At 36.7% G+C, this 24,304-nt stretch overlaps 1 protein-coding gene and 1 long non-coding RNA gene across 16 annotated transcripts in view; one reads left to right on the top strand and one right to left on the bottom strand.

The window, feature by feature from the left end:
- The window catches only part of NRXN1 (neurexin 1), a 1,113,630-nt gene that overhangs the window by 200,876 nt on the left and 888,450 nt on the right, over positions 1–24,304 (top strand). The gene's annotated exons all lie outside the window — the stretch shown is intronic.
- Positions 10,529–17,093, bottom strand: LOC124906006 (uncharacterized). Its single transcript, XR_007086318.1, has 3 exons — positions 12,185–17,093; positions 11,941–12,064; positions 10,529–10,612 (listed from the first exon to the last, which is right to left on the bottom strand). It is a non-coding gene; the product is annotated as an uncharacterized LOC124906006 (long non-coding RNA).

Genomic DNA, 24,304 nt, shown 5'->3' with positions numbered 1-24,304 from the left:
AGATTTATCCTTGTTGCATGAAGTTGTAGATTGTTCATTCTCATTGTATTACAGTTTCCATTGTGTGAGAATTTTATCCATTCTACTCTTTATTTGACCACACATATTTGTTTTAATAACTTAATTGTACATTTATAAATAACTTAAGGAGTATAATTGGATTGTTTGTAACCGAAAGGATAAATGTTTGAGGAGACAGAGACCCCATTTTCCATGATGTGCTTATTTCATATTGCATGCCTGCATCAAAACATTTCATGTACCTCATAAACATATACACCTACTATATGCCCACAAAAATAAAACATAAAAATAAAAGTAATACAAATAAATAGCGCTGCTACGAACACTTTAGTGCATGTCTTTTGGTGGATGTGTGTGTCGTTTTTTCTGCTGGGTCTATACTTAAGAGTGAAAAGTCTAGGCCATGGAGTATGCTTATGTTGAGATTTAGTAAAGACTACCAGTTTTTCAAAGTTAATTGTATTAATTTAATTTTAAAAGAAATTAAATGAGACCTCTTATAGGAATCTAGTATGGGAGGAGATGTATTATAAATGGACCAAGCAGTGAAAACTAGGCAAAAGGGTGAATGCCATAAAGTTCTGACAGAACAGGGAACTGTGTTGCCCTAGAGAATGATGAAAGTGATCCTTGGTGCAGGCAGCTCATGTGGAAATGAATGTGTTTCAGGGCTCAGAAGAACTGAGTCTTATTTTATTTATAGTAGATAGTATATGATGCAGAGCTTTTTGAACTTTTTTTTTTTTCATTTAAAAACGTCTGCCCAAGGTTTCAAGTGCTTTTAAATTAGCTTAGTGTTGAATAGGTACTAATAAAACTACCGTGTGTGACAATTCACAATAAAATCCCTGTGTCATGTCGGCATGTGGATGAGTGTTTTTATTATTCAAAAGTGAACATGGGGCTTGGCTCATTTTCACAAAATACTCCTTCTTCAAGGTAGTTTGGGCCTACCTCACCCTCCCTCCTAATCCACTGAACTGTCTGAAATTTCAATTCCTTTTACCTGCCTAGATAATTTTTCATAATCCAAATCTGTATGTATTGGTAGCTGAATCTATTGAAGAGCATAAATAAAAATGAGCTGCATTTGCCAGTAAAGAAGTGCAAGCCCAGACAATGCCCTAGTGCCAATTAGCAGACTCTATAAACGGATGGTGTGTTCTATTTGCCACAGCCAGAGACTTTGTGAAGAAATGAGCTTTTTTTTTTTTTTTTTTTTTTTTTTTTTTTCCAGCAGGCAGTATTCTTTGGGTTCCTGTGCGGTTTCTCCTGATAGCAAGTAGAACAGAACTCACATTGTGAGTCTTGCTAAGGGCAGGCTGAGAAGACACACAGAGCACACTTAATTGGATTCATTCAAACTCTAGAATTCTAAAAAAATAAAATAATCTGTGAAAGAGAAGTTATATATTATGTTACCAAAAGTTAAGTTACTTCATAAATAAAAACATTAGGGCTGAGTGGCACTTAAGCGGGCCATGCCGTGCAACCTTGGGCGCTGCCAACCGTGGGCGAGCTCTGGGTGTGCGGGCGGCCTGGCGCGGCGCTCCGCTGTGTCAGCCTGTTATGATGCCGTCCCGTACCAACCTGGCTACTGGAATCCCCAGTAGTAAAGTGAAATATTCAAGGCTCTCCAGCACAGACGATGGCTACATGGACCTTCAGTTTAAGAAAACCCCTCCTAAGATCCCTTATAAGGCCATCGCACTTGCCACTGTGCTGTTTTTGATTCGCGCCTTTCTCATTATTATAGGCTCCCTCCTGCTGTCAGGCTACATCAGCAAAGGGAAAAATCCTGAGTTAGCCGGGCACAGTGGCTCATGCCTGTAATCCCCGCACTTTGGGAGCCCGAGGCGGGCGGATCACCTGAGTTTGGGAGTTTGACTGTCCTGATCAACATGGAGAAACCCCATCTCTACTAAAAATACAAAATTACCCCTCTCCCTCTCCCTCTCCCTCTCCCTCTCCCCACGGTCTCCCTCTCCCCACGGTCTCCCTCTCCCTCTCTTTCCACGGTCTCCCTCTGATGCCAAGCCGAAGCTGGACTGTACTGCTGCCATCTCGGCTCACTGCAACCTCCCTGCCTGAGTCTCCTGCCTCAGCCTGCCGAGTGCCTGCGATTGCAGGCACGTGCCACCACGCCTGACTGGTTTTCGTATTTTTTTGGTGGAGACGGGGTTTTGCTGTGTTGGCTGGGCTGGTCTCCAGCTCCTAACCGCGAGTGATCCGCCAGCCTCGGCCTCCCGAGGTGCCGGGATTGCAGACGGTGTCTGGTTCACTCAGTGCTCAATGGTGCCCAGGCTGGAGTGCAGTGGCGTGATCTTGGCTCGCTACAACCTCCACCTCCCAGCCGCCTGCCTTGGCCTCCCAAAGTGCCGAGAGTGCAGCCTCTGCCTGGCCGCCACCCCGTCTGGGAAGTGAGGAGCGTCTCTGCCTGGCCGCCTATCGTCTGGGACATGAGGAGCCCCTCTGCCTGGCTGCCCAGTCTGGAAAGTGAGGAGGGTCTCTGCCCGGCCGCCATCCCATCTAGGAAGTGAGGAGCACCTCTTCCCGGCCGCCATCCCATCTAGGAAGTGAGGAGTGTCTCTGCCCGGCCACCCATCTTCTGAGATGTGGGGAGCGCCTTTGCCCCACCGCCCTGTCTGGGATGTAAGGAGCGCCTCTGCCCGGCCGCGACCCCGTCTGGGAGGTGAGGAGCGTCTCTGCCCAGCCGCCCCGTCTGAGAAGGGAGGAGACCCTCCGCCTGGCAACCGCCCCGTCTGAGAAGTGAGGAGCCCCTCCGCCCGGCAGCCGCCCCGTCTGAGAAGTGAGGAGCCCCTCCGCCCGGCAGCCACCCCGTCTGGGAGGGAGGTGGGGGTCAGCCCCCGCCAGGCCAGCCGCCCCATCTGGGAGGGAGGCGGGGGGTTCAGCCCCCTCCCGGCCAGCCGCCCCGTCCGGGAGGGAGGTGGGGGGGGTCAGCCCCCCGCCCGGCCAGCCGCCCCGTCCGGGAGGTGAGGGGTGCCTCTGCCCGGCCGCCCCGTCCGGGAGGTGAGGGGTGCCTCTGCCCGGCCGCCCCTACTGGGAAGTGAGGAGCCCCTCTGCCCGGCCACCACCCCGTCTGGGAGGGGTACCCAACAGCTCATTGAGAACGGGCCATGATGACAATGGCGGTTTTGTGGAATAGAAAGCGGGGAAAGGTGGGGAAAAGATTGAGAAATCGGATGGTTGCCCTGTCTGTGTGGAAAGAAGTAGACGTGGGAGACTTTTCATTTCGTTCTGTACTAAGAAAAATTCTTCTGCCTTGGGATCCTGTTGATCTGTGACCTTACCCCCAAACCTGTGCTCTCTGAAACATGTGCTGTGTCCAGTCAGGGTTAAATGGATTAAGGGCGGTGCAAGATGTGCTTTGTTAAACAGATGCTTGAAGGCAGCATGCTCGTTAAGAGTCATCACCACTCCCTAATCTCAAGTACCCAGGGACACAAACACTGCGGAAGGCCGCAGGGTCCTCTGCCTAGGAAAACCAGAGACCTTTGTTCACTTGTTTATCTGCTGACCTTCCCTCCACTGTTGTCCTATGACCCTGCCAAGTCCCCCTCTGTGAGAAACATCCAAGAACGATCAATTAAAAAACTAAATAAATAAATAAATAAAAACATTAATTTTAGATGTGGAAATCAATAATTTATTGCTATTGTGACATTTGAAAGTAAGTCTTTAAAAGAGTTTACTTTGTTCTTCATTTTTAAAAATTATTTTTTACTATTATAGCCAGAGGGTCACATGTATTGCTTTTAAGAGTAATGCCATTTGGGATACTAAGTGTCAGGGCATATTTCCCCAGAGTATTTTATAAGCACATTAATTATTTGCTGCTAATTATTGTGAGTTTTCACAGCTTCAAAAAACTAACTGCTATGAAACAATAAATTATAACCAAATTCTATATTGTGATATTCATGAAATCAGGGATGAATTGAAGTATAGGTAAAAATGATAGTATTTCTTTGCTAGAAATATTGATGTATTTTAATTCATTGTATCATACGCATCGACCTCAACAGTTTCTTCCAGGCTATTTGCCATTCTTGATTGAATAGACTGTTACCAAGGTCACTATGCGCCAAATCCAGTGATCACATTTCTGTCCTCATTTTTTTACTCAGCGGTAGCAAGTCACAAAGTTGACAGTTCTTTTCTTCTTCAAACACTTTCTGCTGTGGCATCATGATGCTATGTTCTCCTCCATACCTACTGCTCTTCTTGGCCTTTCTTGCTGACTTCTGCTCTGTTGGCTTCCAAATGCTGGTCTGAAAGACTGTAATCTTTCTGAAGGTGATTCAGTACTGTGGCGTTTAATGCCATCTAAATGCTGATGAATCCCAAATGTATATCTCTAATCCTGATCTCTGCAATGAGCTCCTAATTTATGTAAAAAACCCTCTGCTTGACCTTTCCACTGGGATGTCTAAGAGCTATCTCAAACTTCTCAAGACCAAAACAGAGCTATCCATTCTCCATTTTCTAGTTCATAATTTCTGCCGAAGTTTCTTCTCAATAGATATCATTAGTATATGCCTTGTTGTTCAAGCGAAATACACCTAGGAGTCATCTGATCCCTCACTGAACCGCACTTTAAAACACAAACATACATAATCACCCCAACAATTGAAGGATTACTTAGGGTCACTTCCAAAATGTATCCCGAATTTATATGGGTCTTTTCATTTTCACAGGTGATGCATTAGTCAGGCCACCATCATCTAGTAGCAAGATGGCTAGAATAGTCTTTTCATCTAATGTCTAAATTTCAACTCCTTTTTCAGGCCAAATGATCTGTGACTCCAGGCTGCATCATACCTCACTTTCCTTCACTGGCTCATTGGCTTTACCTGTCTTTGCTTTTCTTACATACTTTAAGTTGTTCCTAGTTGGGGCTTTCATACTTGTTTTTACTTTTATTTGTAAAACTGTCCCCAGAAGATTACATGACTAGCTTGTTCTTGTCATTTCACTCTCAGCTCAGATGCTACCTTTTTAGTGAGGATGTTCCAATTAGCCCATCTAATTAAAGAATCCACCAACCTGTGGCCCCTCTTTCCCTTCCCCCAGTCCCTCTCAACCACATCTTCTGGTTTCTTTACAGCTCCAATCATGGATCACTCTCTGAAACTATATTGTTTTTCTTAAGTTTAAGAATTCATTCTCTGTCTATAGCCACTGTAATTTCCATGAGAGCAGATGTAAGATATGTGGGAAGAGTCAAAGTGGCTTTCCTACTCTTGCAGAGCCAACACAATACCTCTAACATGAGATGTGTGGGGGTTTTCCCCCAAACATCAAGCCAGCAGTTCTCCAACAGACACCTGCCAAGTGTTCTCTAATTTAAGTCAATTCAGACACAGTCTAGCAGCAGAAAGTGTTAGATCCCTTAAGTTGAAGGATCATTTTCAGAAGAGTGCCTCCCGACCGACTTCCAATGCCAGTTGCAAGCACAGGTTTTGACTGACTGGCTGTAGACCCCATCCTTGGGTTCCATTAATTTGCGAGAGCAGCTCACAGAAGTCAGGGAAACACTTAATACTTTACATTTGGCTTGATTATTATAAAGAATATTACAAAGGATACAGATAAACAGTCAGATGAAGATGTACGGAAGAAGGGGCACAGAGCTGCCATACTCTCTCTGGGATCCTCCACATGTTCAGCTGTCAGGAAGCTCCCTGACTCCAGTCCTTTTGAGTTATTATGGAAGCTTCATTACATAGGCCTGATTGATTAAATCATTGGTCATTGGTTATCAACTTAGCTTTCAGCCTTTCTCACCTACTTGGATGTTGGTGGTGGGGCTGAAAGTTTTAACCCTCTAATTCTGTCTTGGTCTTGGTGACTGGCCCCCATTCTGAAGCTATCTAGAGGCTGCCAGCCAGCAAACATTCATTAGCATACAAATGATATTCTTATCACTCCAGAGATTTCAAAGATTTTAAGAGTTATATGTCAGGAGAAGGGAGTGAAGACCAAATGTATATATCTCATTTTAAATCACAGTATCACAGCAGGAATTATATTTGTCTTCTTCCCGGTTACAATTCAAGCCCATGAACTGTGCCAAGGATGTGGGTGCCCTATTTTGCCAAATGAATAAACAAAACTATAGATACGTTGGAAGCATCCAGGGAAAAATTATGGTGGCAAGTTATATAAAGGCAGCCCTATTGATTTACTAATTTTTTGACTTTTCTTCTCTATAGTGTATCACTTGCGTGCTGTTAATTCAAAGCACAGGAGAATTCCGGTCTCCAAGATTGAAAAACATAATAACAAATTGTGGATGCCTGCACCTAATCTTTCTTTTTCAGTTAGCTTGATGCAATTTTAAAACAAGTATTCCCTCTTGTTATTCATCTTACTAATGAAAAGCTGCCTCACCAAATTCTAATTTCTGAGGTTGTGGTGCTTGCTAGTCCAGTTTGTATCCATGCTCCTAGGCTGGTCTGTTTTAGCCTTGCATGACCCTGGAGAAGTGGGTATTTTTTTCTGGGCCCTAGATTCACCTGGAGTTTTCAGAGGGGGATTATCTATTTTCTTACCAAGGAGCTAACCTTTGACTATGCCTCTGGCCTCAACGTATTTATTTGTTTAGCCCTTAGGCCAAACCTCAATATCCCTTTACTGGATCCTAGCATATTCCATTCTCAGGGAGTCATACAGCTCAAATACATACTAGAGTTTTAAAAGCAACTACTTCTATGCAGAAAATTGTGAAATCATAAGATTTTAGGAATGGTAGTCTTTTTAGGCATCACCTTTCCCTACATCTTTAAAATGTGAGTGAGAAGGAGCCAAGGTGTAATAATCATACCCTTTAAGTATTTAAGATCTATAAATAGCCACATTTGATATTTTTGTGTATCTATTTTTCACACACACACACACACACACACACTCAAAGGGTTTGAATTGTAGCAATAATAATACTATAGTCATATTTTTCTCTGTTTATTCAGGTAGCTCTTTTATATATTGGATGTTAACAAGTACTCAGTACTGTCTATGTTATTTCTCCTTTCCATTCAGCCTCTTATTCTACTTTCTCTTTTTTGTGTGTGAAAAAAATGTAGTTTGGTGGCACAGCCACACTTTGTGGCTCTGACTTCCTCTAAATTCTTCTGCATAGCAAATCCTGCTCTATAATCAGATTTTATGACAGAAAGCCTGACCACATTGTTTCTCATTTCTTGTTCATTGTGTGTGTGAGGCATTGTTGGGGATAAGAGAAAATGAGGCTTACCATAGATGTTGGGTAGTGTTGCCATTCACAGAGAGGAAAGTCAATTCAAAATGTCCCAGAAATATTTGACATATATTTGAAATATACAAGAATTAAATTTACCTCCAACATAGTAACTCTGTTTGATCACACTCATAAATCTCTGTTTGATTCTTTAACATTGAATCCTTCATTTTGTGTGCTTACTTATATCAAGCAATAAATAACCAATTACTGGACATTTACTGTGGATCCAGCACTATTCCAAGTGCTCTTTAGGACCCATAAATCATTATTTGTCTTCTAGAAGCATAGAAAACAATTTGGCGTACTTAATTAGCATGTAGACAAAACACTTTGTACTTAAGGTAAAATAGGACTTTTTATTAATTCTTCAGTCTAGTTGAGGAAACAACATTAATTCATAGAAAAAGCAGTGCTATGGGAATCAGGAATGTGAATGTTGATGTTGCCTCTGCTACTACTTATAATAACAAAGATTCACCAGAATTTATGGAGTATCTATTATTTGACATTATTTGTAAAGCATTTATTTTATTGTAGTTGTATGATGGTAGGTATTGTTACTTTTTATTATTTTTTCCAGAAAAAAAAATTTTGATTCACTTTTCCAAATCTTCAGCAACCCCAGGTCTGCACTGATGGCCTAGGGTCACAGGTAGTTAACTCAGTCTTCTCACTGTAACAGTTTTGTGATAGACTTTAAATAATCTCTTTGGTTTTCAAAATTGGCAACTAAAATATATTTGGCAATGTTGAACTTAATAACATTTGAAGGAGCTGTTTTGGCCTATCTTTTGAAGTATTGCCTGCCTGCAGAGATCTTAATATGCAAATAATTAAAATGACAACTCAAAGAGGTTCCTGGAATCGTAATGGTGCCCAGGTCTCCAGGGTGCAAGTGCACATTGATTATTGACGTCTATAGTTACTTTCTCTAATTATGCTGAGCGACTGAATGTTGGAAATGCAATTGTATGCCCCTCTCATTGCTTTGAAAATATACATGGTAGCCCATAATCAGTCAGAGATTCAATCAGATTAATTCATTACAATGTATAAACAATAACTTTGTAAATAAAGTATTTGCAGTTTAATTAGGATGCCAGGTTCTAAATTCTAGATAGGGGCTTAAGCTGGATTGACAGACCCTTAACTCTATTATTATTATTTTCATAATTAAGCTAAAGAGTTCTCATAGTATATTAAATTTGGTAGGGAAGAAGAATGAAAACGAGGATTTAATGTTTGAAGAACTACATTAGCAAGGTTGCTAATTATCTTATCATAAATTTAAAAGGCATATTATTCCCTCTTCTCTTTTTCTCAGCATTCACATTTTGATAAAATAGGAGTGTGTCCTTTACTTTCTGTTGCAATCTAAGCTTGATTAGATTTGGCTGTAAGGTCATTAAAGGATCTATAGGCTAACTGCATCAGATGAGTGTCTTATATTATGCAAAGGTGAGATCTCTCAAGAGTGGAATATATTTGTGTATTTTCTGCAGAAAAATATTTATTTTTAAGACTTTCCTTATTTGTTGTTCAATCACTTAAATATAACTAATCTAGAAATTGTGAATCAGTGGTACTTGTGAACATTATTATCCATTTTCTCTTTAATAAAAGCATGACTTCTTACTTTGAAACGTATCTTGTTTAGTAATTGTTTTAGATACTGAGAGAAATGTATCTGAAGACAGTTTAAACGGAAAGCTATATTTATTTTAAAATGAAAAGCAAAATTATACTAATCTTTCACTTTGTTTTATATTTTAAAAATTTATGTTAGCACTCACATAGAAAAAGATGAGCAATAGCTAATTGTTTTTATTTTCTTATTTGGTAAAAGTTCTGAAATCATAGGTAGTAATTAGACTATCACTTAAATACAATGAAGACCAAAATTTACTCAAACGTGATTCAAAGTCAATTAGTGTTTAAAATGTTTTCCTATCAAAACATTTGGCACTTACCTGTGAGTATACGTCCTTTTCATTCTGTATTTTCCCTCAGAAAATTAAAAATAAATAAATAAATAAAGGAAGCATTTCCAGAACTGAGTAGATTTGGAGTCTCTGAGACCTTTGTCCTGGCCCAGTGATGCTTATGAGAGCCTACTTATTTGTCCACCTTATTGATTTTTTTATTTCCTTGTTTATGAGCTAAATCAGTGTAATTTGCTTATTTTACTCCAGCCTTCTTAAATTCTTTTTTCACGTGTGCAATGTGCACATTACCTTATTATGAATTTTATTTTCCTCTAATGCTTTGTAATGGATAATTCAGTACATCATTTTATCAGCATGTAACCCTCTCTAGACTCTCCCAGCTGTTCTCATCTTTCACAAGACACTTAACCTATAACAGCTTGCACTTCTATGGTGCTTATTCTATGTCAAGCATCCTTCTTAGCTATTTACATATGTTAACTCACTTAATCACTACAGTCTTATGAAGGATATATTCTTATTTCCATTTTGCAGATGGGAAGATTTAAGCACATAGGAGTTATGTAGTTTGTCTAATGTCACACAGCTGCTAAGTGGTAGGATTAAGCCAGGGGTGTCCAATCTTTTGGTTTCCCTTCACCACATTGGAAGAAGAAGAATTGTCTTGGGCCACATATAAAATACACTAACGATAGCTGATGAGCTTAAAAAATGTTGCAAAAAAATCTATAATGTTTTAAGAAACTTTAAGAATTTGTGTTGGGCTGCATTCAAAACCATCCTGGGCTGCATGGGGCCTGTGGGCCGTGGGTTGGACAAGCTTGGATTAAACCAAGTCTGGCTGGATCCATACTCTTCATATTCTTAATTATAAACCCTGATGCATCTCTGAACTTCAGTTTTCTCATTAGTTAAATGAGTGGATTCTCATTGATGACACCTAAACTTCTGCCAAGTCCTAAATAAATATGTTGTTGGGGGTGAATGCATATATGGAAATCTCACACCTGCTTAATTAGAAAATGCAGTTTTATTGACAATTTAATGTAGATATGGTTTTCCACATATCTGTTTCAAGATTAATAATTTACTTGTTTATCCCTATCCTCTCCATAATCTATAACACAAACAGACCTCGTGGGTGTTCAGTATCCATTTGGTTTGTTTATTTAGTGTTTGATTGCTTGACAAGTGAAATTGGCACTGTAAGTGGTTTTGATCCCTGACAGAGAGGCGACATCTGGAAACTGGAACCTGAAATCACACCAGGCTCCTCCTTGTTTACAACTGAAAACAACAATGTTCTGCTTTAGAAGCGTCTGGGAAACTTTAGGTACTGCTGTCTACATCCCAGGGTCACCTGGATGGAGGGTAGAGCGAGGATGAAAGGCAGACGGCAAACAAGAATAGGTTGGAAACATTGCAGCACACATCTTTTTGTGCTTTTTAGTTTTTGAGCTTTGTGAATATATTATCTGTTCAAAAAGTTAAATAAATCATTGAAAAAGTGTTTGTGGTCTTAAATGAGGTCCATAGCAGTACAGCTGAGCAATATTACAGTCAAGCTTCTTCTCCACCCTGTCAAAAGGACACCCTCCACTGAACTGTCAGTCATGTGAGTTAAATTAGTTCAAATCACTCAAGCAATGAGATTATGGGACACACAACACCTGTGCAGGAAGTGGTGTTAGAAAGTAAGGTAACAGTGAGATGATTTAATGGGGAAAGAGAATAAAGATAGACACTATCAGAAAGCAATTCTGCACTAAAATTCAATAGAAAGGATAGTAAGTTCAATAGGAATTAATACAGGAGAGAAATCAGGATGGTCCAGAGCAATTTTCTGGACCACTTCATGATTCTTGTTTTTTTTCATATCCCCATCCCCAGGGCTAAAAGAATATCAATCATGGGTTCTTAAAAATGTATTAATAAAAACATGAGTCCTGGTTAGTCCATGCTTAAGTGTTGCAATTAAATTTAAGGAAAAAGTGACCTGTAACCAACATGTGCAGTGGAAAATGTGTGTATTAACAAGTGAGCAGAGTGGTGCTGGTGCGTACCAGGACAAGTCAGGGTGATACAATGCAAATGGCAAACACAGGAATTATCATGAGTGATGTCTGCTCAAGTCAGTGTTAACAGTAAAGTACCAATATGTTGGGATTTATAACCACTTCTCTGTGGTTGAATGAACAACCAAGGATTTTTCTTTTTTTAATGATGGGGTGAACATGGAAATAATTCAGGGAAATAATCACTGCTCTAAAAATCACTAAGATTCTTTTTTTCTTTCCTTTGATTGAGATTTAAAAAAAAACATAACATGTAATTTATCCTCTTAACAAATTGCTAAGTGTGCAGGACTCTATTGTTAATAATATGAACATTGTTGTAGGGAAGATCTCTAGAACTTTTTTCACCTTGCGTGACTGAAACTCTCTACCCATTGAACAGCAACTCCCTATCTTCCCTATGCCCTATTATCCCCTGTCAGCTACTGTTCTACTTTCTACTTATATGAACTTGATCATTTTAGGTACCTCATAGAAGTGGAATCATGCAATGTTTGTCTCCTGTGACTGGTTTCTTTCACTTAGCATGATATCCTCAAGGTTTATGTTGTAGCATATAACAAGATGTTCCTATTTCTCTAAGGAAGAATAATATTTCATTGTATGTACATACCACATTTTCTTTTTCCATTTATCTGTCAATGGACACAGGTTGTTTCTGCCCTTTGGCTATTGCGAGTAATGCTGCAACGAACACAGAAGTGCAGATGCCTCTTCAGGGTCCTAGTTTTCAGTTCCTTTGGGTGAATACCAGAAATCACATGGTAAATACTGAATCATATGGTAGTTCTATTTTTAATTGTTTGAGGAACCTCCATACTGTTTCACACAGTGGCTGCACCATTTTACATTCTCACCAAAAGTGCACAAGGGTTCCAATGTCTTCCCATCCTTGCTGACAGTTGTTATTTTGTGTTTTGGTTATGGCCATCGTAACAGGTGTCGGTTGATATCGCATTGCTTTCCCTCCTCCTTGTGGTTTTGATTTGCATTTCCTTGCTTGATTACTGATATTGATCATCTTTTTATATACTTGTTGGCCATTTGTATTTCTTGGAACAAATGTCTAAACAAGTTCTTTGCCCGCTTTTTAATCAAGTTGTGTTTCTGCCATTGAGTTATGGAGTTTTTTATATATTTTGGTTATTGATTTCTTATAAGATATATGGTTTGCATATATTTTCTCTCATTCCATAGATTGCCTTTTCACTCATTTCCTTTACTGCACATATGCTTTTTAGTTTAATGTAGTCTTATTTGTCCAATTTTCCTCTTTTCTGTACTTTTGGTGTCGTATTCAGGAAATCATTGCCAAGAGCAATGTTTTAAAGCTTTTCACCTGTGTTTTATTTTAGGCATTTTACAGTTGCAGGTCTTATGTTTAGGTCTTTAATCTATTATGAGTTGATTTTTGTGTGTAAGATAAGGATCCAGTTTCAATCTTTTGCATATGGATATATACAATAAAAAAATAAAAAATTAAACCAATTTTATTTATAATATCAACAAAAATAATAAAACAGTTAGTGATAAACTTACCCAAGGAGTTGAAAGACCTATATACTGAAAACTTATATACTGATTAAATAAGACACAGATAAATAGAAAGGCATCCTGTGTTTCCAAATTGGAATGCTTAATATTGTTAAGATGTCCAAACTATCTAAAGCAATCAGCAGATTCAATGCAATCCTTATCAAACTATTAATATCTTTTTTTCAGGAATAAAAAAAAAAACAATTGTTTTTGTATGTTGACTTTGTATCCTGCAACTTTTTTGCTTATTAGTTCCAACTTTTTTTTTTTTTTTTTTTTGCTATGGAGTCTTTAGGGTTTTCTACATATAAAATCAAGCCATCTGCAAACAGAGATTTTTTTTACTTTTTGCTGGCTTTGATGCATTTTATTTATCTTTCTTACTTCATTGCTCTAGCTGGGACTTCCAATACTATCTTGAATAGAAGTGGCAAGAGTGAGCATTAATACCTTGTTCCTGATTATCCAGGAAGAGCTCTTAGTTTTTCACCTTTGAGTATGTTGTTAGCTCTGGGTTTTTCACATATGGCCTTTATTATGTTGAAGTAATTTTTCTATTCCTAGTTTGTTAAGTGTTTTTATCATGAAAAGGGGTTGAATTTAGTAAAATACTTTTTTACCCCCTGCATCTATTGAGATGATCACTCTTTATTCTACTAATGTGGTGTATTACATTGATTTGCTTTTGGTATGTTGAACCATCCCTGCAACCCAGGAATAGATCCCTCTTCGTCATGATGTATGATACTTTTAATATGCTGTTAAATTTGCTTTGTTAGTATTTTGTTGTGAATTTTTGCATCTGTGTTCACTAGGGATATTGGCCTGTTGTTTTCTTTTCTTGTAGTCCTTGTCTAGCTTTGGTATCCCTATCACCACAATGCTGGCCTCATAAAATAAGTATGGAAATGTTCTCTTCTCTTCTATTTCTTAGAAAATTCTGAGAAGAATTAGCACTATTTTTTTTTATTGTTTTGTGTAATTCTCCAGTGCAACCATCTCATCTGGGCTTTTCTTTTTTGGGAGGCTTTTAATTACTGATTTAATCTCCTTAATAGTTAATGAACTGTTCAGATTTTATATTCATGATTCAGTTGATAGGTTGTATGTTTCTAGGAATTTATATACTTTTTCTGGATTATCCAAGTTATTGATGTATAATTATTCACAGTAGGTTCTTTTAATCCCCTCAAAGTCACTAAGATTCTAACTGGGAAAATATTTACTCTGTTGTATCTCCTTTTAAGATAGCTTTCTTGTTCCTTCCTCCACCCGCCTTCTGTCATTGGTAGAAACTAAATAAATTATGGAAATTCAGTCATGAAAACATGGGGAGAGATGGTGCCTTCCTCATGACCCTTTTTCTTTAGACAGTTTGTGATCTCCGAGAGCCCTGTGTAATTTATATAGCCTGAGAGTCCTCCTAACAGTTTTAAACTCAAAGACCTTAAACATAATTTAGTAATAGTGTTAAAAAAATCCGTATTATTTGTATCTTAAAATACATAAATCATTCCTGGTTAGTCTATGTTTTAATATCTTGGAGGAAAGGACTTTGTTGCCTTTGAAGCAGAAATTCTACAGTTGAATGACTCAACAAAAGTTCTACTTGTTCAGGCTCTCCGTAGGATACAGCAGTGACCAACTCATGGCCCAAGTGATTAACTGCATCAGGGCCAGAATCTTTTCTGGTCTGAGTGGCAGTAAGTACATCATCACGAGAGGCTTTCTCTTTTAGCAGATCTTGCCTCTTCTTTCTTTGAAGATACAGGCCCTTCACCTCATGAACCAAACAATCAGTAAGCTTTGAAGAATTTTTGATTAAAAAAGCATAACGCAAGATAAATCCAGATGAGCAGCCTCTGCTTTTTAACCATGTCAAGTTTGTTTTTTCCTCCTTCTGTTTAGTTTTTTTACTGAGACAAGCACACAAGATAGCTTCAAGATGGCTGTTAGCTATTTGTTTTCTGGGTGCTTTTTTTCTTGATGAAGGAAGAACCCATTGAACATTCCTATTCTCTCAGCATAAGGCTCCTGGCTTCATTCTGTGAGGTCTGCCACCCAGGAGACACTGAAATGTGTAGACTGTGCTATGATATCCAATGAGATTCCTAAATAAAATAGAAGAAGATTTAACATCACCCTCCCAAAGCGTTCATCAATGGGGCATAATAGATAATGGCCATGTGAGTACTAATATTTTCTAATATGACTTTGACTCATTATTATAGACAATTTAACATTAAGAGAAAACCATAGGGCTCTGGTTCTTAGACAACAAAAAGATACAATATTTTAAGCTAATGCAATTAAAAAGAATAATATTGATATTCAAGTGTTTTGGTTGCACTAATTATACTTAAGATCTTAGGATGTTTGTTTACGAGTTGAGGTCTGTCCAGGTGTGGTGAAGGAGAACACACAGACACAGCAAGGCTGTTTTCCAAGAATATGAGCTAATTTATTTACATGGGTTCTCTGAAGAGAGATATTCTAGCATTTTTCAGGATACACTTATGCATTATTTAACTTGTAGGAAGATGGGCACTGGGGATTCTTGTATATAGAAAATTCTATGACTATGCAAAACAATTAATTCTATAGATAAAATAGCGTGAAAATAATGCTTTTCTATGAAGACCAGTTAGGCCAGTTTATGAGGATATGTTTCATGGATATTCACTCTCTTAAAATACACACATATACATACACACAAATACTGGTTTTTAAATAGTCCTGACCACTTTAATCTATGCTTTTTATATAGAATTTATTAAGGGACCACAAAATTTTAAATCATTTTACAATACCTCTTCTGAAATAGACATATGGGTATAAACATTTTAATATTTGAAATAGAAATAGAAATAAAAAAATACCATGGGTTCTTAAATAGCAAAGAGACTTATAAGACACAGAAATGACCCAATGCTTGAAATATAATTCTCACATATTGTTACTGTGTTTTAGTATATGAAATATAGGTACTGTAAAGATTTTAATTATCTTACTCTCCTCATCCTGATCAAATAATAAGTTTAAAATGCATCATTCTAATGGGATTTAGAAAAGACATAATGTCAACAGATCTTTTATAATTACCACTGCGTCCCTTGTCACATTGTCCAATGCACCTCTGCACTGGAGATCGGTGTCTGTCTTGTCTTGTGTACCTGCTTTAAATGAGAAGGTTTCAAAATGTAGTTTTGTTGTCATGAGAAGGAACATAATTACTCAATAAAGATGAAGTAGGAATAGTGCAAACACAGTCAAGGTAAATTGGTTTAACTTGATTGTAAAGCGAAGAGGCAAAAAGGAAAAAAAAAAGAGTATGTCAGTTCATCTGATTGCAACATAATTCTAAGAATTCTGCCTTATACATTTTCTGATTCTATGACATAGTTCTAAGAATTCTCTATATAGCTCCTTATTCTATGTCGTAGAATCAGAAAGTTCATCTACACAGTTTTTCAGAGTTGTTTTCTAGAACTTACTTCCCCTTTGAGGTAAACAATTGAATCAAACAGATGGTGTCCAGCTTATTCCCAGTGCAATGCTAAGTAAGGAAAATACAGAATTTCAATATAATAATTCTGCTCAAAATATAATAATTTTGAGAGAATAAGAATAAAATGTATCAAATACCTTTGTATATTTTTAAATTATTTCTTTTTGTGGGGGGATTTAATTATTTTACATTTTTAAGTGAGATCCTTGAAGTAATATTTGCAGGAAGTATAAGTTAACTGGGCAAAATTTTATCCAATTAGTGTGTTGATTTAGAATGGAAAAAAGACAGATGAGAATGAAGGAGTTTTCCAGATTTCATGTGGTATGATATACTCCCAGAAATTGTTCCCCAGGGTTCTTCTTTTTTGTTCTTCCATGAGGTACTACCCAACTTCTTTCTGTGTTTGCCAAGTAAAATGTAAGCAGTAGAATAAAAAAGCAATGACTCTTGGTTTATGAATTCATTTTACAGTAGATTCACAGGGTTTGGGGAATGAGAAGGGGTAAGGGGTGAAGGACTAGATATTTTTCAACCTTAGTTGTGAACCACATTTTATAATTTATATTGATTAAAAAATTGAGAAGAAAGGCAGGTGTGGCAGCTCACATCTGTAATCCCAGCACTTTGGGAGGACAAGGCAGGAGGATTCCTTGAGGCCAGGAGTTCAAGAACAGCCTGAGCAACACTGGGAGGTGCTACCTCTACCAAACAAAAACAAAAACAAACAGAGAGGGTAGAAAGTCTAGTCACATATTATCACTGATGAAATGCGTGGCTGCTGCATTTTGCATACAGTTGCCATACTTACCTACTGTGGACAAATGAGGCAAATTAAATTTCCACAAAATTTTGCCCTCAATTTTTTCTCCTCTTGCTAAGAATAAGCAGTCTTCATTTTTAAAAGAAACTTGGCTATGATCTCCTCTTTAATCTTGGTAGAAACAACTAAGCTTCTTAATAAAAAATATATTAGTAAGATCAGAAGATGTATTGTTAAAGTCATAATAATAAAAGAAGCACTGAAAAGAATAATTAGTAGTTCAGTGAAGTAAGGCCCCATGTTAATCATCATGATAACTTTTTAGTGGGGTAAGAGATTGTGGCGGGAAGATGGAAATGTGGATTTTGAGCTTTTAATTAAAACCAATTTCAGGACAATGCCTTTGTATATGCATGTTCACATCTTTAATCTACAATCAATGCACCAGTACTTTAACATATCTAGCTGATTCAGACTTAGTAATAACTCTTTGAAACCTTATTTTCTTTTGTGTAACCTGAGTATTAATCTTATAACAAGGTTGATGATCAAATGAGGGAATTCATAAAAATGCACTTTGAGAAGAGTTAAGTTTAAGCCATATGAAATTGCTAATAATCAACGATTTTTACTTATAAAAGGCACTTTTATATTGTTCAATATAATACATAATGCTATGCAAATGTAATACATTACTAATAAAACCAAAGGAAGCTAGAAACTGATTGAAAAGATAAAGCTATAAACGAGAGAAGATAGTGCAAAAGTAAAGATAAAGAATTAATTTACTTATGTTTATTTTGATGGAGATCTAAAAGATAACAAAAAAGAAAATGGTAAAAATATTTATTGATAGTAAATTCATGGCTGTGCATCATTTAACAAACATGAGATTATGCATATTTAAGCCATTAATATCTTTTTTTTTTTGAGACAAGGTGTTGCTGTCACCCTGGCTTGAGTTGCAATGAGGCAGTGATGGCTCACTCCAGCTTCAGTCCCCCAGGCTCAAGCCATCCTCCCGACTCAGCCTCCCATGTAGCTGGGACTACAGGCATGCACTGCTCCAATGGCTAATTTTTTAAAATATGTTATTGTACAGGTGAGATCTCACTGTGTTGCCCAAACTGATCTCCAGCTTCTGAGCGCAGGCAATTATCTTTTTATTTTTCAATTCAAAACCACTATATGTTATTGCGACAGCTTTGAGATTACAAAAGTATCAAACAAAAATTTAAAACCATTTTTTCAAGATTTAAAAAAACTCACTAGATCAGTGTATTCTCTTCTGAGGTTTAACTTTTCCTTTTCTTTTTTTTTTTGCTTTCTCTTTCCCCTCTCAAAGTTTATAGCTAAATTTCACACACACACACATGCGCTCACACACACACACACACACTCTTATTATTTATGGTATATTAATATAATAACCAGATGAAATTCTATATATTATGTATATATATTTTATATATAGCCAAATGAAAGTATATGTGGATCTATACAATATCTATTTATCTACCCAAATTAAATTGTGAATTATAGTCATGTATACACACACATGAATGCCCACACATACACATCTATCAATATGTTTGTAATGAATACATAGTTCCTGTTTACTAAGACATTGACTTACAAAGAGGAAAATTTCTTAAAACCAAAATCTCAAATTTTCTATGCCTTTGCATAATGCTTGTCGTCTGTAATTTCTGGGTGTCACTCTGATGCTATGGCTTCACTATCTCTTGGCCTTCCTAAGGAATTAGTTTGGTCTGATTTGGAAGTCACATATGTAACCGCAAAGATATTATTTCCATGTATTTAAATATTTAATTCCCAATTATCTTGGCAAGAACATGTTGCTAGACAAAGTCATTCTGCTATATTTATATGTTCTCCTATTCACAAATCACAGAAGCAACCAGTGACTGTTTTCAGATGGATTCATTAAGCAATGTAATTTAAATGTATACTGTACAAAACCAAATGTTTAAATAAAAATATCTAACCAAGTTTTTTGAAAAGTACAGTTAAGTTTTTTTTTTCATCTGGTTTCTCAATGCACACATGCAGAGGTAAGACTTAACATCTGTATACAATTAAAAGAGTTAGCCATATAGTCTAGATAATCCCAAGGTGTCATACTTCTGTATAGGTTGGAATTGCTTAATGATTTTAGAATTTTAAATATTGTACCAAAATCTTACATAATATGGAGCCACATTTTTACTTTAGGTGCACTGTCAAAAAATAATACAGATTCTTTTTGGAATTGTGACCTATTTACTCCAGCAGAAATCAATTTATTCATTAGACATGATCATCTTTCATATTTGACCTTCTGAAAGTCTCTATTAGATTTTTATCTTCTTTTAGAGTCATATAAAAGTTTATACAAAGACATTCAAGGCACTACAGTTGCTTTAAATTTATGAAGCCAGATAATAAATCTTTGTATGTCTTTTATTCTCTTATGAAAACATGTCAGTGCTCCTGCTACTTGTCTAGGATAATATTCAGAAGTAACTCTAGAACATTGGTTGCAATTGTCTGTGCTTTGGAGTGCCAACTGAAGATCTTTGGCACTATTTTCATAAGTAGGAAAAACAAAATCAAAAAACAAAAACACACCCACCTAAGTTGAGATAAAAATGTGAGGTGAACATTTTCAGTGGTAAAGAGAAGTGTGTATCTTGATTCTTTGTCTGTGACATCACTTATTGTATATCTGGAAAACAGCCATGTGTTCTAGTGGTCTAGAAGATATGTTTACCTATCTTGGTTGCAGACAATACTTGCATGATTTCAATAGGATAAAAGAAAATTTAAGTGTGTGAATAACTGAGAGATGGTGAGTTAGGAAAAGTTCTTAGAAATTGTAAACTTTAAGTCACAGGGATGTTTCAAGGAATCATCAGTGTTGGATTAGCCGGTCATTGAGAGAAAGGATATGTATTATATTTAAGGAATAAAGGCAAAAACACCATACTTTATTTATCTGCAGGTCAACTATAATTTTTAAAATGTGATCATTATATATGTAAAACTCTTCCCCCTATAATTCTTTTAGGTTATCTGTCCCCCTTACCAGGGTACACTTTTCTTTATGAATATTTTCAAATTAAGATACACTTTTTTTTTTTTGAGACGGAGTCTCACTTTTTCACCAGGCTGGAGTGCAGTGGTGTGATCTCAGCTCACTGCAATCACCGCCTCTCGAGTTCAACTGATTCCCCTGCCTCAGCCTCCCGAGTAGCTGGGACTACAGGTGTGCACCACCACATCTGGCTCATTTTTTGTATTTTGGTAGAGACAGGGTTTCACCATGTTGGCCAGGATGGTCTTCATCTCCTGACCTCTTGATCCACCTGCCTAGTCCTCCCAAAGTGCTGGGATTACAGGCATGAGCCACCTGCCTGGACAAGATGCAAACACTTTTATTGAAGTTTTAGCTTACTTATTATGCTGATTAATTTCTGTATTGTGTCAAGTAAGGTAAAATTGCTTTTAGAGGGTGTTCAGGAAGTTGAATATATGTGTGGAACTCAGCCAGAAATTTCTCCTAATAATGCTACTTACTAGGCTTGTTTATGTTATAAGATGGATTTAAGATGAATTTCTGGGAGTAAAATGTTTATTGGAGTGATTAACGTTTTTGAAGTATCAGGTGTTGGCTCTTTAAAAGACATTAAAACTCAGTAATAAACATTCTCTGGTTCCCTCTCAAGTTTCAGAGAACTGCAAAGTATTATTATTTTATTCAGAAACTTCTCTCTATTCCTCTCAGTATATGTAGATATGAAAACAGATTTTGAAAGGTTTGAAGCCAGTCCTTCAATTGCTTTTGAAGGAATTAAATGATCCAATGGTAGTTCGTGGCTGAGAGTAACAATCAAAGCAACACCTTTACCATATTAAAGAAATGCTTGGAATTAGTTGGACCTCATGTTCTTTGTACTCAAGCCAACAGATGATTTCAAAAGATTGCTTTAGAATGTTTGGAAACTAAATTTATCAACAACAGAGGGTAAGAGGGAACAATGAATTTATCTGAGGTATATATCCCTTTCTCAATGAGAATATTACTCTTATTTATTTGAACGTGACTATATTGAAGAGGCGTATACTAGTAGGTTCAGTGAAGAAATTGAATTGGCAGAGCTGAAAATCCACGTGAGTGAATAAACACAATGGTATTTTTTATATAGAAAATTGACAGGTATGCCTGTTTTCATTGTTGAAAGAACAGAATTTAGTAGATGATTTCTCCTTCAGAGAGCAATTTGGATTCAACTCATGAGAGGTGGTGAACTCAAACCATTGCCATCTGACAGTTGTTTAGCAATTAATATTAAACATGTCAGTGACCTTGATCTGGTTCTCTTAGACATGTGTTTATCACAATAAACTGTCATCCCCTCCTCTGACCCATGGATGTTTAAACTGATTATCCACAGAAGTAGTTGGGTTCTTTTAGGTTAGAATTAACATTCTTCTTATGTTTTCTGGAGCGTGACGGCATAGAGAAAAATCAAGTTTATCTCAGGAATTTTAATAGCCTCAAAAATACTAAACCTCTGCTCTACATAATTATGAAGGGAAAGACATTCAAATTAAAGACAAAAGCATTTGACATGTTAACACTTAATTTCTGGAATAAAGTATGAATTGTGTTTGATTTATTTTTTCTCTCTAGGAAAGCACCTACCTGGCTCTTCTCCATTCATATGATGCTAAATCTTTAAAGGATGACATTAATTCCTTAGCGAGAGGATTTGGGACAGAAATAATTTAAAAATGTTTGGGCTTATGGCTTCAAGGGACCTTCGGTAGACATCAGGAAGTATCCTGATTTATTCTTCAGAGAGAAGTTACTCTGCTTATGCTTAAGTTTCCTTTGAGGACTTTTACTAAGTCCTCAAGGCTACACCTAGCTCATTCTAACAACTTCGTAGCATCTCTGATTATTGATAAACTGTAAATAGATCCTCATTTTCCATGAAGAGGACCCTGATTGTCTGATTCTTAATCTGTAAACACTGTAGACTGACTTTCTATAAATCCCATGAATATTTTCTACGGAAAGTACTTAAGCTGTGTGACCAGGCCAGAGACATTATGAATTTTCCCAAGCAGTCTGTTAGAAAGATTTTTTCCTAAAAGTTGTCAATATGTTCATAAGGAAATTTTATGAGTCAGGATGGTATGATTACCTGGGATGACTGGCAAAATTGTAATTTCTTGCCTAATTGTTTAGTAAGTCCTTAAAGCTTGTTATGGTTCTAAGATCTTTAATTAATGTGTTGAAAGTGAGGCAGTAGGGTGATCTTCTCAGCGAAGAAATATTTTAGTTACCTGAGTAAATCGTTATAAAAGTGTGAAGTCCAGTGATCTTGAACTATAGGTTATATACTGGTTTATCTTATAAAATAAAATTATCAGAGGCCAAGTATTTTATTGATGCATCAAGAGTCAGAAAACACTATGCTTAGATTGTGTGGGCCCTCAATTGCTCTAGTTTTGGGTTTCCTTGAACACAAACATTTATTTATTGACATTTTCTCCCTGGTCCTTTTAGACATTTGAGTTTGCTGTCTTGACACTATGTACAATCAATTTTAACTTATGTTAGTTTCTCTTTTTTTTTGCATTTCAGTAACTTTATTAAAAGCTATATCTCTTAATCCTAAAACGTAATGGTAGTTGGTTAATTTACCTCTGCCAACTCAAAATTAACAATGATGTATTCAAAATATTGAAATATATTAGCCTTTTGAGAAAACTAAAAAGTTTTCCATAAAACATGGCTTATGAAAGTTAAGAATATGATATAATGTAGCTATTTGGTTTATTTTTCATTGCTTCTTTATCCATAACATGATGTCAAATTGGTTACAGTCATTCTGGATGGACTCAGTCTATACTTGCCCCGGAAACTATTTACAATAGTTTTAACACTGTACTTCTTACTTTCACTAACTGACATGGAGAATCCTAAACACTACCTTACCAGCCTCACTCATAGTTATAAAAGTGCCTACATTTTACAAATGCACATTTAAGGCACAATAAGGGTTAACATTCTAGGTAGTATAAACACACCCCAAAATGCAAGTAATAGATAATTCAGAGATGTGGACTTTATTGGGAATTATATTTAAATTTGATGACATTTTATATAAAGCAAAAATACAGACCTAGTAAGTTTGGCATATTCATTAGGTTATATTTAATATATTTTTTCTAGAAAACAGGTGACAATTGTATCTACGATAAAAATTTTTATACAGAACCTACTGCCTCAAACTGAATCCCATCAAGAAGATTACTTTCTTTTGTACTAGTAACTCAAAATAAATTATGTTAGTTTCTTAATTTAAAGTATAGCTAAGGGTAGTGACACAACGCCAAGATAAGCAGAATCATTGTTAGGTCAGATCTAATTAGTACAGCAGAGCAAGGAAAGGAGTTCAGAACCTTGAAGAGCTCCTTTTGCAAATTGATTCTCTGGAGGGATTATTTGTGTTTTACCCTTCTGCTGGGGAAACACTGTTAACAAGGCCTGCCTCATGGGCCGCCATCTTCCATTCATGCACTTTCAGTATTCATAGCAGTTGGAATAAATTGATATAAAATTATTCAGTCCAGTGATTCAGAAATATAGGTTAAATAGTGGTTTATATTATAAAATGAAATTGTAAAAAAAGAGTTATAATCTCTTTTGGGGTGAGATAGAACACTTGAAGCTCATGAATGGGGTAAGAACCTTACTGTCCTTGATATTAGTTAGTTGATCCCTTGAGTGGTCTACCTTAGCCATACCAAAGCTGGAATCTGTCATTAACTTGTCCCTGGTCATAATTATGAAGGTTATAGTTAAACTTTCTTCAAGGCAGAGGTAGGAAAAGTTTTTTATATCTTTATGTCTTCTTTCTTATAATAGGAGACAAAGATAGATAAAGAAAATAAGAGAAGTAATAGAATAATATGATTCAGAGACTCTAAGAGGTTTTGATGTTTAATCCACTGGCTTTTCTATAACACTCTAGAGGCACTGTAGTTTATATATATTTCAAGGATGATTGGCGTGTATGCTACCCCCAGAATTCCTCTTATAAAGCAAAATAAATTAATCACAAATTATATCTTGAATGCTAAGCATATTATTTA

The sequence above is a fragment of the Homo sapiens genome, chromosome 2, assembly GCF_000001405.40.
Source record: "Homo sapiens chromosome 2, GRCh38.p14 Primary Assembly".
Lineage (NCBI taxonomy): Eukaryota > Metazoa > Chordata > Mammalia > Primates > Hominidae > Homo > Homo sapiens.
Note: the sequence above shows the minus strand (reverse complement) of the source record. Positions and strands in the feature narration are given on the sequence as shown.